This window comes from Homo sapiens, chromosome 5 (assembly GCF_000001405.40).
Source record: "Homo sapiens chromosome 5, GRCh38.p14 Primary Assembly".
NCBI lineage: Eukaryota > Metazoa > Chordata > Mammalia > Primates > Hominidae > Homo > Homo sapiens.
This window is the reverse complement of record NC_000005.10, coordinates 146,131,650-146,147,592: the sequence shown is the minus strand read 5'-3', so window position 1 is coordinate 146,147,592 and position 15,943 is coordinate 146,131,650. Positions and strand designations below refer to the sequence as shown.

General features: G+C 40.3%; 1 protein-coding gene and 2 pseudogenes across 5 annotated transcripts in view, besides 1 other annotated feature; 1 reads left to right on the top strand and 2 right to left on the bottom strand.

Moving 5' to 3' along the window:
* LARS1 (leucyl-tRNA synthetase 1) overlaps window positions 1-15,943 on the top strand; it is a 69,617-nt gene that overhangs the window by 35,058 nt on the left and 18,616 nt on the right. For all 5 annotated transcript variants that reach the window (XM_011537656.4, NM_001317965.2, NM_016460.4 and 2 more), the window contains 8 exons: window positions 2,884-2,969; window positions 3,056-3,121; window positions 3,244-3,326; window positions 4,043-4,181; window positions 4,509-4,721; window positions 7,332-7,389; window positions 11,929-11,992; window positions 14,512-14,695. In XM_011537656.4, the coding sequence (XP_011535958.1) occupies window positions 2,884-2,969; window positions 3,056-3,121; window positions 3,244-3,326; window positions 4,043-4,181; window positions 4,509-4,721; window positions 7,332-7,389; window positions 11,929-11,992; window positions 14,512-14,695 (893 nt within the window). The remainder of the gene's footprint in view (window positions 1-2,883; window positions 2,970-3,055; window positions 3,122-3,243; window positions 3,327-4,042; window positions 4,182-4,508; window positions 4,722-7,331; window positions 7,390-11,928; window positions 11,993-14,511; window positions 14,696-15,943) is intronic.
* On the bottom strand, window positions 8,553-8,832 carry RPL35AP17 (ribosomal protein L35a pseudogene 17; annotated as a pseudogene).
* Window positions 9,212-9,459, bottom strand: RPL35AP16 (ribosomal protein L35a pseudogene 16; annotated as a pseudogene).
* Window positions 14,265-14,434: an enhancer, noted in NCBI's record as "experimental_81335 CRE fragment used in MPRA reporter constructs". NCBI's record gives its function as "activates a minimal promoter by MPRAs in K562 erythroleukemia cells, with activity observed for both the introgressed and non-introgressed 5:145512807 variant alleles {active_cell/tissue: K562}" and the evidence as "EXISTENCE:reporter gene assay evidence [ECO:0000049][PMID:34662402]".

Below are 15,943 nucleotides of genomic sequence, written 5' to 3'. Positions count from 1 at the left end.
TGTGTGTGTATGAATACAAATTTATAAGAACTTATTTTTAAAGAATCGTATGGAAAATTTCAAATGTATAAAAAAGTAGAGAGTAGAATGATAAATTCCTGTAATACCTATCACCCGGATTCAATAATTACTAATTTTGGGCCAGTTCAATAATTGTTCTTGTTTTCTGACTGATTTTTTTTTTTTTTTTAAAGAGACAGGGGTCTTGCCATATTGCCCAGGCTGATCTGGCTTTGGGCTCAAGTGATCGTCCCACTTCAGCTTCTTGAGTGGCTAGGACTACAGGCATGTGCCTCCATGCCTGGCTGATTTGTTGTAGGATGCTGTTGTTGTTTCATAGATGGGACATCTTAATCTTATTTCTCTGAGGAAGACCGTTGATATGTAATATATTTGGGTGTAAAAAGAAATGTTTTTGCTTATGGGTAGGACTTGTCACTAGGCTTCACTGGGGGAGATCTAGAAAGGGCCATTTGGGCCTTGGCGACTCCCGGTTGTTAAGTTTTTTTAGTATTGGCTTTTGGGTTTGTTAGATTTCCCTACAGAAGATTCTGCCAATCTCTAGCTCAAAAGGTCTAGGTGGCCAGGCACAGTGGCTCATACCTGTAATCCCAGTACTTTGGGAGGCTGAGACCGGTGGATCACTTGAGGTCAAGTTTGAGACCAGCCTGGCCAACATAGTGAAATCCTGTCTCTACTGAAAACACAAAAATTAGCCGGGCATGGTAGTGTCTGCCTCTAATTCCAGCTATTCGGGAGGCTGAGGCATGAGAATCGCTTGAACCTGGGAGGCAGAGGTTGCAGTGAGTCGAGACGGCGCCACCACACTCCAGTCTGGGCGACAGAGCGCTGTCTCACAACAAACAAAAAAGTCTAAGCAACTGAGCATTTTGGAAGTTGGATGGGAGAAGATAGCTAGGAATGTGTACCAACATCTAGTATGCTGACTTTCACTTAATTCCCCTATTTTTACTATGATACTTGTAACTTTGTCTCTAGTTCAGAGACTTTCTTTTACCTTTTCCAGAGAATTAGCCTTTTTTTTTTTTTTTTTTTTTTTGGTTCTGGCATAGGTAGGGGCAGTATATGGGGTTCTAACCTCTATTTTATTTTATTTTATCTTATATTATCTTATGTTATTTTTTTACCACTTCCCAGATACCCACTTCTTTAAATGACTTTAGTTGGTGCTCTTCTTTTCAGTCTCACCTTATCTCTCTCTCTCTCTCTTCTCTTTCTTTTTTTTTTTTTTTCGGAGTTTTGCTCTTGTTGCCCAGGCTGCTGGAGTGCAATGGCACGATCTCAGCTCACCGCAGCCTCTGCCTCCTGGCTCAAGCGATTCTCCTGCCTCAGCCTCCCAAGTAGCTGGGCGTTACAGGTGTGCGCCACCATGCCCAGCTAATTTTGTATTTTTAGTAGAGACGGGGTTTCTCCATGTTGGACAGGCTGGTCTTGAACTCTTGGCCTCCCAAAGTGTTGGGTTTACAGGCGTGAGCCACCACGCCCAGCCCTTATCTCTATTTCTAGAGCTATTTAATGCCACCAATTTCTGAGTCTCTTTCTATTTAATGCCACCAATTTCTGAGGAACTAGAGTGCAGAGTGGATTGCTTTTCAGCTTTTTCTATTAGGATTCAGATAGCTTTTTAATTGCTGCTAATATATTTGTCATTCATATTGCTTTTTTGTTTTCAAAATTCAGTTAATATTTTTTCTTCTCATTCATTTTGACTTTGTAGGTTCATGCCATTTGTAAAACCCTCTTTGTTGTCTTTTTATTGGAATTTTGAGAGGGAGTTAAATGTCTGTTTTTAATCTACCATCTTTAAACCAAAATTCCAGCTATTTAATTTCAGCATGAAGAATTGCATTAAAAACAGAGCAGTGAATCATTTTATGAATAATAATGCTGGATTTTATTTTTAAAAATTATCCTAGCCTAAAATGTTTAGGATCATCATAGCATTAAGAGAGATTTATATTTGGTAAGAAATCAAAAACATCGTCAATTTTCATGCTTAAAGTATTTAGGATCATAATAGCATTAAGAAAGATTTATATTTGGTAAAAAATCAAAAACATGGTCAGTTTTCTAGTGGAAATTTTTCATGGCACTATAAATCTTTAGTAACAAGATTTTCTATGTTTAGTCTTTGTATATCTTTTTTTTTTCTTAAGCAGTAGTTTATAAGAAGGATAAAAAGCTGCCATAGGGCTGTGCACAGTGGCTCAAGGCTGTAATCCAAACACTTTGGGAGGCTGAGGTGGAATACTTGAGCCCAGGGGTTCGAGACCAGCCTGGGCAACATAGTGAGACCCTATTTCTATAAAAAAATTAAAAAATTAACTGGGTGGGTTGACATGTGCCTGTAGTCCCAGCTACTCAGGAGGCTGCAGTGTGAAGTAGAAGGGTCACATGAGCCAGGAGGTCGAGGTTGTAGTGAGCCATGATAGTGCCACTGCGCTCCAGCCTGGGTAACAGAGCAAGACCCTATCTGTCAAAATAAAAACAAAACAAAAAAAACATAAAACCCCAAAAAACTGTCATAGGAAGCCCAACCTTCAAACCATAGGATTCGAAACTGCTGACCATCTTTTGTGTTTTTTTTTCCTTTTTGTTCACTTTTTAATTTTCACTGAAATGAAATAATCAGTAGCTAGAGAAAGTGATCCACTTGATGAAGATTCATGCCTTTTTAAAAGCAGGTGTTACATAGAAGGAAAGGTAGAAGATGACTGACCCTGGGAAGGCGGGCAAGACATAATGAAAATGTGGGCTTTCAGTTATTGGTGGTATAGCATTTTTTTAAAGTAATTTTTATCCTTGAGGAATGAAGATTGATTTGACATAGTATCTAATGTATGTTTATTTACCTTCCTTTAGGGAGATGCACTTATTTACATGGAACCAGAGAAACAAGTGATGTCCAGGTCGTCAGATGAATGTGTTGTGGCTCTGTGTGACCAGTGGTTAGTCTCTTATAGCAAGAAAATTCCCCTAGTCAATTTGCTCACCTTTGACTTAAAAAAAAACATATCAATTTGTCCACTCCCAGGTACTTGGATTATGGAGAAGAGAATTGGAAGAAACAGACATCTCAGTGCTTGAAGAACCTGGAAACGTAAGATGGGAGAAAGTGATGAAGGAGGAAAAAGGAGATGAAAAATGTGGAAACAGTAAAGTTGAAATGCAACAAAAAAAGTGAACCAGTAAAGATACACTTTGTCTTTTGCTCTTTTCTAGATTCTGTGAGGAGACCAGGAGGAATTTTGAAGCCACCTTAGGTTGGCTACAAGAACATGCTTGCTCAAGAACTTATGGTCTAGGTAAACAAACTTGAAATTTTTCTGTTTGGATAACTTTGCCAGTTACACAGAAAATATACATTTTTACCTTTCCCCCCTGCCCTCAATTCTAGTGTTTTCTGAATTGAAAGCAGTAAGTTTCCTCTGGATGGTCATGAAAACTAGGATATAGTCCACTATCATCTACTGTGTGGTAGAAATATGCCCTCTCTATATAGATTTTGTGGTGTGACTTTTTTATGGAGAGACTCCAAGCTTCAACCATTTGTCTTTTTTTTCTTTTTTAGAGACAGAGTCTTGCTCTGTCGCCTAGGCTGGAGTGCAGTGGTGCGATCTCAGCTCACTGCAACCTCTGCCTCCCGGGTTCAAGCGATTCTCCTGCCTCAACCTCCCGAGTAGCTGGGATTGCAGGCACCCACCACCATGCCTGGCTAATTTTTTTTGTACTTTTAGTAGAGACGGGGTTTCACCATGTTGGCCAGTTTGGTCTTGAACTCCCGACCTCAGGTGATCCACCTGCCTTGGCCTCCCAAAGTGCTGGGATTATAGGCGTGAGCCACCATGCCTGGCCCATTTTGTCTTTTATCTACAATTTTATTTTTATTAATTATTCAAGAATAATTTAAGAGCTTCCTAAATAAGTAGCTTTGTAAATGTTATAGCCCCCTTCTTAAAAATGTGGATTCTATAGATGAAATGTCTCTCAGGTTCCTCATGCGTTACTTTTTATTTTTCAGGCACTCACCTGCCTTGGGATGAGCAGTGGCTGATTGAATCACTTTCTGACTCCACTATTTACATGGCATTTTACACAGTTGCACACCTATTGCAGGGGGGTAACTTGCATGGACAGGCAGAGTCTCCGCTGGGCATTAGGTTGGTAAACAGATAAGGGAAAGGAGCATAATTTGTCAGTAAGAGTTGTGATATTTGATTTATGTATTTAAATGTTTTAATAAGATTTATTTCACAGAATTTTGTCATGATATTTTTGCTTTTTTACTATTGAACTGGGAAAAATTAATAAATAGCCCCTTACTGTCATCATCTATTCTTCATTCTTATGGAAGCTGTTGTCCTTATTTGTTCCTGTAACTACATTAAGAAAGAGATTCCTAATCCATGTTTCGATTCAGGTACTGATTCTTCCAAAGAAATTACATATATATATATATAAAATAGTTTGTTTTATTTTTAATACAGACCGCAACAGATGACCAAGGAAGTTTGGGATTATGTTTTCTTCAAGGAGGCTCCATTTCCTAAGACTCAGATTGCAAAGGAAAAATTAGATCAGTTAAAGCAGGAGTTTGAATTCTGGTATCCTGTTGATCTTCGCGTCTCTGGCAAGGATCTTGTTCCAAATCATCTTTCATATTACCTTTATAATCATGTGGCTATGTGGCCGGAACAAAGGTGAATGATAAAATAGGTGTGGACTAGATTTATTGATTGTCAATAGGGGTGTCTTGTGGCTTCAAATATCTAATAAATTATTGTGGAGGGGATGGTATAGATTTGCCAGTTACATTCTTTTTCTTATCTTAAATATGTACTAAAGCAGAAAGGCCACCTCCTATCTCTTACATCCAGAAATCCACATACCTACCCCAGGCACCAAAGCATGTCATATCTCAGGTGCATTGCTGGTCTGCTAGTAATTCATTTGACCTGTTAAATGCAGGAATAATTCTAGACCATTAGAATTGGAAAGAACCTTCTCTTTAGAGCAGAGCGCCCCAAGGTTCCAGCATTAGTTGTGGTAACATTCTGACTAGAGTCTGTTTCTTCAGAGTAATCCTTCTGTCCTTTTCCCTCTTTACCCAGACATGTCTACTTTTCCCTCTAGTTCCTCAAGTAGCTGAGGAAACAAACCTCTCAGTCTGTTCAAATTTTATTTCATAAAACCAAGACAATTTCTTATGCCTTCTTGTATTTAGAATAAAATTACATTTTTTCCTTCAACAATAAAACGAAGATTTTGGAGTAGAGGAATAAAATAATTTTTTTTTTGAGACAGAGTCCAGGCTGGAGTGCAGCGGCACGAACTCAGCTTGCTGCATCCTCTGCCTCTAAGGTTCAAGCAATTCTCCTGTCTCAGCCTCCCGAATATTTTTTATTTTTTTTGAGACAGAGGTTTGCTCTTGTTGCCCAGGCTGGAATGCAATGGTGTGATCTCAGCTCACTGCAACCTCCGCCTCCTGGGTTCAAGCGATTCTCCTGCCTCAGCCTCCCGAGTAGCTGGGATTACAGGTGTGCACCACTACGCCTGGCTAATTTAGTATTTTTAGTAGAGACGGGGTTTAACCGTGTTAGCCAGGCTGGTCTCAAACTCCTGACCTCAGGTGATCCACCCGCCTTGGCCTCCCAAAGTGCTGAGATTACAGGCATGAGCCACCGTGCCCAGCCCAGAGGAATAAGATAAATTTAATGTGGTTCTTACACTACTTGTCATCCACTGTTATTACTTACCTAATTTATTTATTTATTTTTCTACAGAGTCTCACTCTGTCATTCAGGCTGGAGTGCAATGGCATGATCTTGGCTCACTGCAGTCTCAACTTCGCAGACTCACGTGATCCTCACACTTCCGAGTAGCTGGGACTAGCCACATGTCACCTTGCCTGGCTAATTTTGTTTATTTTTTGTAGAGACGAGGTCTCACTTTGTTGCCCAGGCTGGTCTCAAACTCCTGGACTCAAGCGATCCTCCTGTCTTGGCCTCCCAAAGTACTCGGATTACAGGTATGAGCCACCGTGCCTGGCCCTAGTATTTTTCTCTATTGTTTACAATGCATTTGTAGGCAAATTGGTATCTCAGAAGTATTCTTTACCAATAAGTTGAATCTTCATTCCTTTGCACCAATTTTTTTCACATTTGTTAGGTTTTTAAAAATTACAAATAAGTATTGACATCAAGAGCTTATGCCAGGTACTTTTTAAATCACTTTTAATAACTCTTTTTACTATAGCTTTTCGAGGAAGGTCTTTAATATCCATGTCTGTAGGCAGGGAAGTGTACTGAGGAATAAAGAGGAAGAAATCATAATCCAAAGCTACCCAGCTAATGAAGATAGTACAAGTATGCAAACCCAGAGAGATTGGCTCCACAACTCTTGCTCTCAACCCCCCATATGATCTCATTGCTAGAATGAATGAATGACATGTACATAGTTTGAAAATTTAAAGAATACATAAAGGCAAAAAGTTAAAAGTGAACTTTCATCCTTGCCTGCACACTACTCTATTTCCCAAAATTCATCATGATGCTATTGGTTTCTTGTGATTTTATATACCAGCATCTGATATCTCTATTTGTTAATGTATATAAAGATACCACATTGTTTACACTGTTCTGTCTTGTTTTCACATGTATATGTGTGTATATATGTGTATATATATGTGTGTGTGTATATATATGTGTGTGTGTGTATATATATGTGTGTATATTTATATGTGTGTGTGTGTATATATACATTTTTTTGAGAGGGAGTCTTGCTTTGTCGCCTAGGCTGGAGTGCAGTGGCGCGATCTTGGCTTACCGCAACCTCCACCTCCCAGGTTCAAGCAACTGTCTGCCTCAGCCTCCCCAGCAGCTGGGATCACAGGCGCCAGCCACCACACCCGGCTAATATTTGTATTTTTAGTAGAGATGGGGCTTCACCCTCCTGGCCAGGCTGGTCTTGAACTCCTGGCCTCATGATCCACCCGCCTTGGCCTCCCAAAGTGCTGGGATTACGGGCGTGAGCCACTGCGCCCAGCCTTCACATATATTTTTAAGATCTTTTTATATCCATACGTGTAGCCCCACCTAAGTAGTTACGTCATTGTATACCTGTATCCTAGTTTATGTAGCCAGTCCTTTGATTTGTTTTCACTTCCCATTACAAAAAGGACTATAGTGTATATCCTTGCACTTTTATCTTAGCAAGCCTTTATGAGTCTATTAGCTTTTACCTCAAAATTTTAAGCCAGAACTATCATCTTTGTTTTTTTATTTTCTATCTTTAAACATTTATCTGTGAAGTGACAAATGGCCTACAGCTGTGAGAGCAAATGGACATCTCCTCCTGAACTCTGAGAAGGTAAGGCTTATTGCATCTTAAAAGTTTAAAATTCTGTGGAAGGCTTTTCAGATTTAGGTTGTTGCACTTTTTTTTAAATGTATGTAAGAAATAATGTGTCCAGGTGTGGTGCCTCATGCCTGTAATTCCAGAGCTTTGGGAGGCCAAGGTGGGAGGATCACTTGAGGCCAGGAGTTCAAGACCAGCCTGGACGATATAGTGAGACCCCATCTCTACCAAAAAATTAGTAAATAAATAAGAAATAATATGAATTAATCAGAGTTAAAAACCTTCTAATTAGCATATTTAGGACGAGGCATAAATTAATTTTTTTTTTTTTTTTTTTTTTTTTGAGACGGAGTCTCGCTGTCTCCCACACTGGAGTGCAGTGACGTCATATGGGCTCACTGCAAGCTCCGCCCCCTGGGTTCACGCCATTCTCCTGCCTCAGCCTCTCGAGTATCTGGGACTACAGGCACCCGCCATCACGCCTGGCTAATTTTTTTTTGTATTTTTAGTAGAGACGGGATTTCACCGTGTTCGCCAGGATGGTCTCAGTCTCCTGATCTCATGATCTGCCCTCAGCCTCCCAAAGTGCTGGGATTACAGGTGTGAGCCACCGCGCCTGGCCTATAAATTAATTTTTATCTTTAAAATTGAGCAAGGGGAGTAGATAGTATTAATTGAAGAGAGAGATAGGGAAGAGTTACCTATTTGTAACATTTGTATTTAGAGTGGCCAAAGGTGACACAAATTGCAACTGAAGTAAAGAGAGAAAAAGAGAGACAGAGACAGGGACAGGAATCATAAAGAGCTTAGCATTGTGACCCAGAAGAGTTTTCTTTTCCTTTTTTTTTCTTTTTCTTTTTTTTTTTTTTTGTTGTGATGGAATCTCACTCTTTCGCCCAGGCTGGAGTGCAGTGACACGATCTTGGCTCACTGCAACCTCCACCTCCCAGATTCAAGCGATTCTCTTGCCTCAGCCTCCTGAGTAGCTGGGATTACAGGCGCATGCCACCATGCCCGGCTAATTTTTGTTTTTTTCCGTAGAGATGGGGTTTCGCCATGTTGGCCAGGCTGGTCTCGAACTCCTGACCTCAAGTGATCGCCTGCCTCAGCTTCCCAAAGTGCTGCGATTACAGGCATGAGCCACTGCACTCGGCCATTTTTTTTTTTTTTTTTTTCACAAATCCACTTTTATTGACTTTTCGTTAGTTTAAATCCTTGAGGGGTACAGCATCACTCCGATTCTGTGTCCAATAGCCTTAGCAGGAAGATTGTTTAGGAATTTGGCATGAACCATGCTACTGTTCCCGTGGGCCTGAGTTACCTTTCCCCAGATTACTCTGGTTTTGTTTGGTTTGCCTCCAGGAGTCACCGTCTGGTTCTTTGCTTTGTATACATAGCACATCTCTTGCCCAAATAGAATTCTGTTTCATCTTGAGCATAAACACCTTCAAATTTTTTTTTCTTTTTCTTTCTTTTTTTTTTTTTTTGAGACAGAGTCTCATACTGTTGCCCAGGGTGGTATGCAGTGATGCGATCTTGGGCTTGCTGAAACTTCCACCTCTTGGGTTCAAGCGATTCTCCTGCCTCAGCCTCCTGAGTAGCTAGGATTACAGGTGCCTGTCACCACACTCGGCTACTTTTTTGTGTTTTTAGTAGAGACAGGGTTTCAGTATGTTGGCCAGGCTGATCTGGAACTCCTGACCTCAAGTGATCCACCCGCCTCGGCTTCCCAAAGTGCTGGGATTACAGGCATGGGCCACTGCACCCAGCCATTTCTTTTTTTTTTTTTTTCCTTTTTAACAAATCCACTTTTATTTATTGACTTTTCATTAGTTTAAATCCTTGAGGGGTATAGCATCACTCAGATTCTGTGTCTAATACCTTTAGCAGGAAGATTGTTTAGGAATTTGGCATGAACCATGCTACTGTTCCCATGGGGCCCGAGTTACCTTTCCCCAGATTACTCTGGTTTTGTTTGGTTTGCTGCCAGGAGTCATGGTCGTTCTTTGCTTTGTATACATAAGCACATCTCTTGCCCACATAGAATTCTGTTTCATCTTGAGCATAAACAGTTTCACTTTTTTTTTTTTTTTTTTGAGATAGAGTCTCGCCCTGTTGCCTGGGCTGGTATGCAATGACGTAATCTCGGCTCGCTGCAACCTCCACCTTCCGGATTCAAGCAATTCTGCCTCAGCTTCCTGAGTAGCTAGGACTACAGGTGCCTGCCATGATGCTCGGCTCATTTTTTTGTATTTTTAGTAGAGACGGGGTTTCACTATGTTGGCCAGGATGGTCTCAAACTGACCTCATGATCCGCCCACCTCAGCCTCCCAGAGTGCTGGGATTGCAGATGTGAGCCACCATGCCCAGCTAACACCTTCAATTTTAAGAAGAGCTGTGTGTTCTGGAGACATTGCTCATAGCCAGCAAAAATGGCCTTGGACCACAGCCTTCCAGCCATATTTCCTTTTAGAAGTCCTGCTCCCAGCAGGCCTCCATAGGATCCAAGATGATGGGAAGAGCTATTTTTCTTAGTAAGTTGAGAAAATGACTCGGTGCTTTTTGTTTTATACTGTGACTGGCCACTAAATTAGTAGAATGATAGAATTTTGGAGTCTGTAAGATTTTTAGATGTCACGTAATGCTCCTTCCCAAGCAGTATAGTAGTCCTCTCTATGCTTCTGCTGTTACTATCACTACTGTTACTATTAATAATATGGGTGATTTTTTTAAAACAGACTGCATAGTACTTTATCTTATTAATCAATATCCTCAGTAGGAGGTTATGCAAACTTGACAGACCCCTCACTTGCCCCTATGATACTTCTGTGCAAATTAGAGAAGGGCACCCCTACTTGACTTAAAAAAAAAAGTACAAAATTATTTATTCCTCATTAATAAAAATGGTAACAAATTAGATTTGTTACAACCAGTGAATTTTGCTGTAACCAACAGAATAGCAATGACTGTATTAGTTGTCATAAGTGTCTATATGTCATAATGAAAATAGTTGTAGGGGACTGGGCGCGGTGACTCACGCCTATAATCCCAGCACTTTGGGAGGCCAAGGCGGGTGGATCACCTGAGGTCAGGAGTTCAAGACCAGCCTGGCCGATGTGGTGAAACTCCATCTCTACTAAAAGTACAAAAAATTAGCTGGGCCTGGTTGTGGGCGCCTGTAATCCCAGCTGCAGGCTGAGGCAGGAGAATCGCTTGAACCCGAGAGGCAGAGGTTACAGTGATTTGAGAACGTGCCATTGCACTCAGGCCTTGCGCGACAAGAGTGAAACTGCATCTCAAAAAAAGGGAAAAAGGAGAAAATAGTTGTAGCTTTAAACAAATGGCAGCTGATGTAAATTGCATTATGTAACATCAGACTTAGCCTGTGCCCTAATATTGAAAGGTAATAAAAGATGTTCCTTTAAGATAATCTGTGGCCGGGTGCGGTGGCTCACGCCCGTTAATTGCAGCACTTTGGGATGCCAGGGCGGGCAGATCACGAGGTCAGGAGTTAGAGACCAGCCTGACCAACATGGTGAAACCCCGTCTCTACTAACAGTACAAAAATTAGCTGGGCATGATGGTGCGCGCCTGTAATCCCAGCTACTCAGGAGGTTGAGGTAAGAGAATCCCTTGAACCGAGGGAGGCGGAGGTTGCACTGAGCCAAGATTGCGCCACTGCACTCCAGCCTGGGTAACAGAGCAAGACTCCATCTCAAAAAAAAAAAAAAAATAGGTAATCTGTATATTAGACTGAAAAACTGCTGTTTAGAAGCACAGGCGATTTTAATAGATTTTGTTAGCTCAATAAGGAACCTTTGATTATTGAACTCATTTCTTCTTTGTAAGTCAAAGAAGAACAATACATTTATTATTCTTGTTAGAACATGACATTTTCTTTGGCTGTCTGAAAGTTGTTGTACTATCCTGATTTTATTAGAACAAGATATGTATTGCCATGTAGTATAATAGAAAACTGATATAATCATCATTTCCTTCTGATATCAGCATAGTTAAACTAATGACATACAATTTTAAAGCGATAAAGATTGCTAGGCTGTGAGTGGTGCCTCTTCCGATGCATTGCCCTAAGGCAGAGCACAACTTGAACAACCGATTTTTGTGACCCTAATGATAGGAGGGTTCCTAAAATCATAACTCCAACCTCATGAGCTGGTCCATTCCATTTCTGAATGATTCTAATTGCCGTAAAGCTCTTTCTTAGGTAACCAGGTGGTGTTCTAGAGTTATAGTGGAATCATTACACATGTCTAACCCAGACAGTATAGGCTAAATCACAGTGGACTGAGTGTGAGTCTGGAGGTCCTCTCCTAGCTGTGTCACTGATAGCTGAGTAACCCAAACAAGGCACTTTATCGGATGAAATTCAGTTTTCACCGCTCTAAAATTAGTGTAATATCTTTTCCTTTCCGTATTTTGAATTCTTTTTTGTTTTTATCTGGTCATGGCCAACCTAGTTAATTTTATTTGGCTCATTTGGTTTATTTATATTACTGTTATTAATGATTGATCACTGACTCTCTATTTCAGATGTCAAAATCCACAGGCAACTTCCTCACTTTGACCCAAGCTATTGACAAATTTTCAGCAGATGGTGAGTAAACATTTTTCTTATTGCTGTTCTGTAGGGTCCAGTTCTCAGATTATAGAAGACACGTTAAAATTGGTGTTTTAATTTTACTTTCTGTTTTGCTTTTAACAAAATTTTAAAATCTTAATGTTTCCTTTGTGGATGAGCAACATAATATTTAATATATAAGAATTGCTGACATGATGTGTTCAGGAACAAATCAAGCTGAAGTTAGTTTGAGTCTTCCTTTAATGAACTCAATATCATTGCTAAGATTCAAGACTTGTTTTGTAGAGATGTTGAGTATGGGCCAAGCGCGGTGGCTCACGCCTGTAATCCCAGCACTTTGGGAGGCCGAGGTGGGTGTATCACCTGAGGTCAGGAGTTCAAGACCAGCCTGGCCAACATGGTGAAATCCTGTCTCAACTAAAAATACAAAAAAAAAAAAAAAAATTAGCTGGGTGTGGTGGCAGGTGCCTGTAATCCAGGCTACTTTGGGAGGCTGAGGCAGGAGAATCGCTTGAACCCGGGAGGCGGAGGTTGCAGTGGGCTGAGATTGCATTGCACTCCAGCTTAGGCAACAAGAGTGAAACTCTGTCTCAAAAAAAAATGTTGAGTATGTAGGAAGCTTTTCCAAGATATTTCCTCTGTATTTGGTATTCCATTCTTATTAACTGAGACAGAGTCTTGCTCTGTCACCCAGGCTGGAGTACAGTGGCATGATCTTGGCTCACTGCAACCTCCATCTCCAGGGTTCAAGCGATTCTTGTGCCTCAGCCTCTCAAATAGCTGGGATTACAGGCATGTGCCTGCACGCTTGGCTAATTTTTGTATTTCTAGTAGAGACGGGGTTTTGCCTTGTTGGCCAGGCTGGTCTTGAACTCTTGGCCTCAAGTGATCCACCCTCCTTGGCCTTCCAAAGTGCTGGGATTATAGGCATGAGCCACCATGCCTGGCCTGTATTTGGTATTCCTAAATGTGTCTTGAACCTGGGAACATTGATTTTTTCAGAAAATTGTTTTTTTGTCTGGCCTCAGTCCTATTACATTTTATTATTATCGTGTCAAGAGAAGAAATGCACTATCCTGAAAGAACCATTCATTTCTTATATAATTAGTCATTGGTCATCATGGTACTTCTTTTTATTGGTCATGGCTAACTCAGTTTGTGTTCTCAGTATTTTGACTGGACACCAAAGCCAAAGACGGAACTGTATCCAAATAATATAGTTAGTCTGTTTCTTACAAGATATATAAGCAATTATGAAACCACTTTATGTATATATTAGGATTGAATAAATAAGTAAACAGGTAGATAATGAGAACCTCTGCCTCACAGAGCTCACTATCAGAAAAAGAAGCTATAAATAAGTAAAGAGAAAATGCTAGAATGAGCCCTATGGGGTCAGATTGGATTTGGTGATAAAAGTATGAGCTCATGATTTTTATTTTGTGTATAGATATGTAGATATAAAACTAAACAGCTGGGTGTGGTGGCTCACACTTGTAATCCCAGCACTTTGGGAGGCTGAGGTGGGCAGTTTACCTGAGATCGGGAGTTTCAGACCAGCCTGACCAACATGGAGAAACCCTGTCTCTATTAAAAGTACAAAATTAGCCGGGCGTGGTGGCGCATGCCTGTAATCCCAGCTACTCAGGAGGCTGAGGCAGTAGAATTGCTTGAATCCAAGAGGCGGAGGTTGCACTGAGCCGAGATCGCGCCATTGCATTCTATCTTGGGCAACAAGAGCGAAACTCCATCTCAAACAAACAAACAAAAAACATAGATATGTGTATGTATGGGTTAGTATACAAATATGAACTGTTAAGTGGAAAAGGCAAAGTGCAGAACCTGAATGCTTTGATTGGACACCAAAGCTAAAGACGGAAATAACTACATAATGAGTTCCCTCTTTTTTTTTTTTTTTTTTTTGCAACCCTATAGTGTTCCATTGTAGGGATATCCTACAGTTTAATTGATGGACATTTAGGTTCTTTTTTTCAATATTTTAGAATGGAAGATTTTGGTAGTACTGAGAGATGAGAATTGAAAAAGTAAAGTTTTATTAGTGATAAACTTGTAAGAACCTAGTTTCAAAACTGAGAAAAATTCATATGCATTTGTACACATAAGGCACCAGTGTGTATTCTCATGTATTAAAATGTATTTTGCTACCTCTAAATGAGGCTGAAATGTTGATAAGAAAACCACAATGAAAGGTGTGTCTTTATCCCCACTTTATCATTTTCTATCTCTGCCTCATTAAAGATCACTTTATCTCATTAACTCAACATGCCTGAGAAGAAACACATATTGGTGCTTAGTGGATGCAAATCAATATGGATGGTTCGAATATTTTAACATCACGGTTAGGGATGCTACTTTTTGGTGATTTTAATTTTTGTTGTTGATCCAGGACAGTCCTTTAAAGCATTTGTTAATTTATATATGGGCTTTGCAAGGTATCCAACTGGACACATAGGACACAGTTGATACTCAGTAACCATATTTTTAATGCATTGAATTTTTTTTTCTTCTTCCAGGAATGCGTTTGGCTCTGGCTGATGCTGGTGACACTGTAGAAGATGCCAACTTTGTGGAAGCCATGGCAGATGCAGGTATTCTCCGTCTGTACACCTGGGTAGAGTGGGTGAAAGAAATGGTTGCCAACTGGGACAGCCTAAGAAGTGGTCCTGCCAGCACTTTCAATGATAGAGTTTTTGCCAGGTAATCTGTAGATCCCAATCATTTTGTGTTTTAGAGTTACTTAGTCCTGGTGCATTTTTGTTTTCTTTTTCTTTTCTTTTCTTTTTTTTTTTTAATAAAATAAACTAATGATAATAATAGCTAGTGTTCATTGAAGGCTTACTTGTGCCGGGTACTATGCTAAGTATTTTGTGTCCATTATCTGACTTTAACCTCAAAGCAACCTTATTTAATACAGATATTATTAGCTCTATTTTATAAATAAAGAAACTGAAGCTTAGAACAATTAAGTATTTCCTTAAATGCCTTAAAGCTAGTAGTTGCAAACTTGGGATATGAACTTGCTTCTGTCTGTCTTGAAAGTCTGTTCTCATAACCATTTTACCATGTTGTCTTGTTTTCGAGTAGGGCAAAATGGTTAAAGGAAAAGTAGATTAAAAGAAAAGGATAAATATCTTTGGAGTCATCCTACGCACTGGTATTATAAAGATGAATGAGACCTGATCCTTATTGTCTAGCAAGAGAGACAAACACCCAGTTTCTAAGCACAATAATAGAGACAAGGAGAATTCAGAGATGTCATGTGACTTCTGGGTTTCTTTTTTTTTTTTCCTGAGACAGAGTCTCGCACTGTCACTCAGGCTGGAGTGCAATGGCACAATCTCAGCTCACTGCAGCCTCTGCCAGGTTCAAGCTATTCTTCTGCCCCAGCCTCCCTACTAGCTGGGATTACAGGTGCCTGCCACCACGTCTGGCCAATTTTTTGTATTTTTAGTAGAGATGGGGTTTCACTGTGTTGGCCAGGCTGGTCTCGAACTCATGACCTTGTGATCCACCTGCCTCAGTCTCCCAAAGTGCTGGGATTACAGGCGTGAGCCACCACGCCCGGCCAAATTCTGGGTTTCTTGAAAAATAAACAATGTTTTCAGGGAGAGGAGAAAGTGTGGATAAGCCATGGAAAGGGTCTGATATTTATTTGAAGTACATTATCTTGTGGGCAGAGGTAGGAAATGAAACAGGTTGGGGCCAGATTAGGCCAAATTAAGAAGAACCTGGATTGGTATGAGAAAATTTTTTTCTGATATCCAGTATTAGTTATTGTAAATGCAATAATTAAAACCTGGCTATGGCCAGGCACTGTGGCTCACGCCTGTAAACCAGGCACTTTGAAAGGCTGAGGTGGGAGGATTGCTTGAGCCCAGGAGTTTGAGACCAGCCAGGGCAACAAAGTGAGATCCTGTCTCTACAAAAAAAAAAAAAATTAGCTGG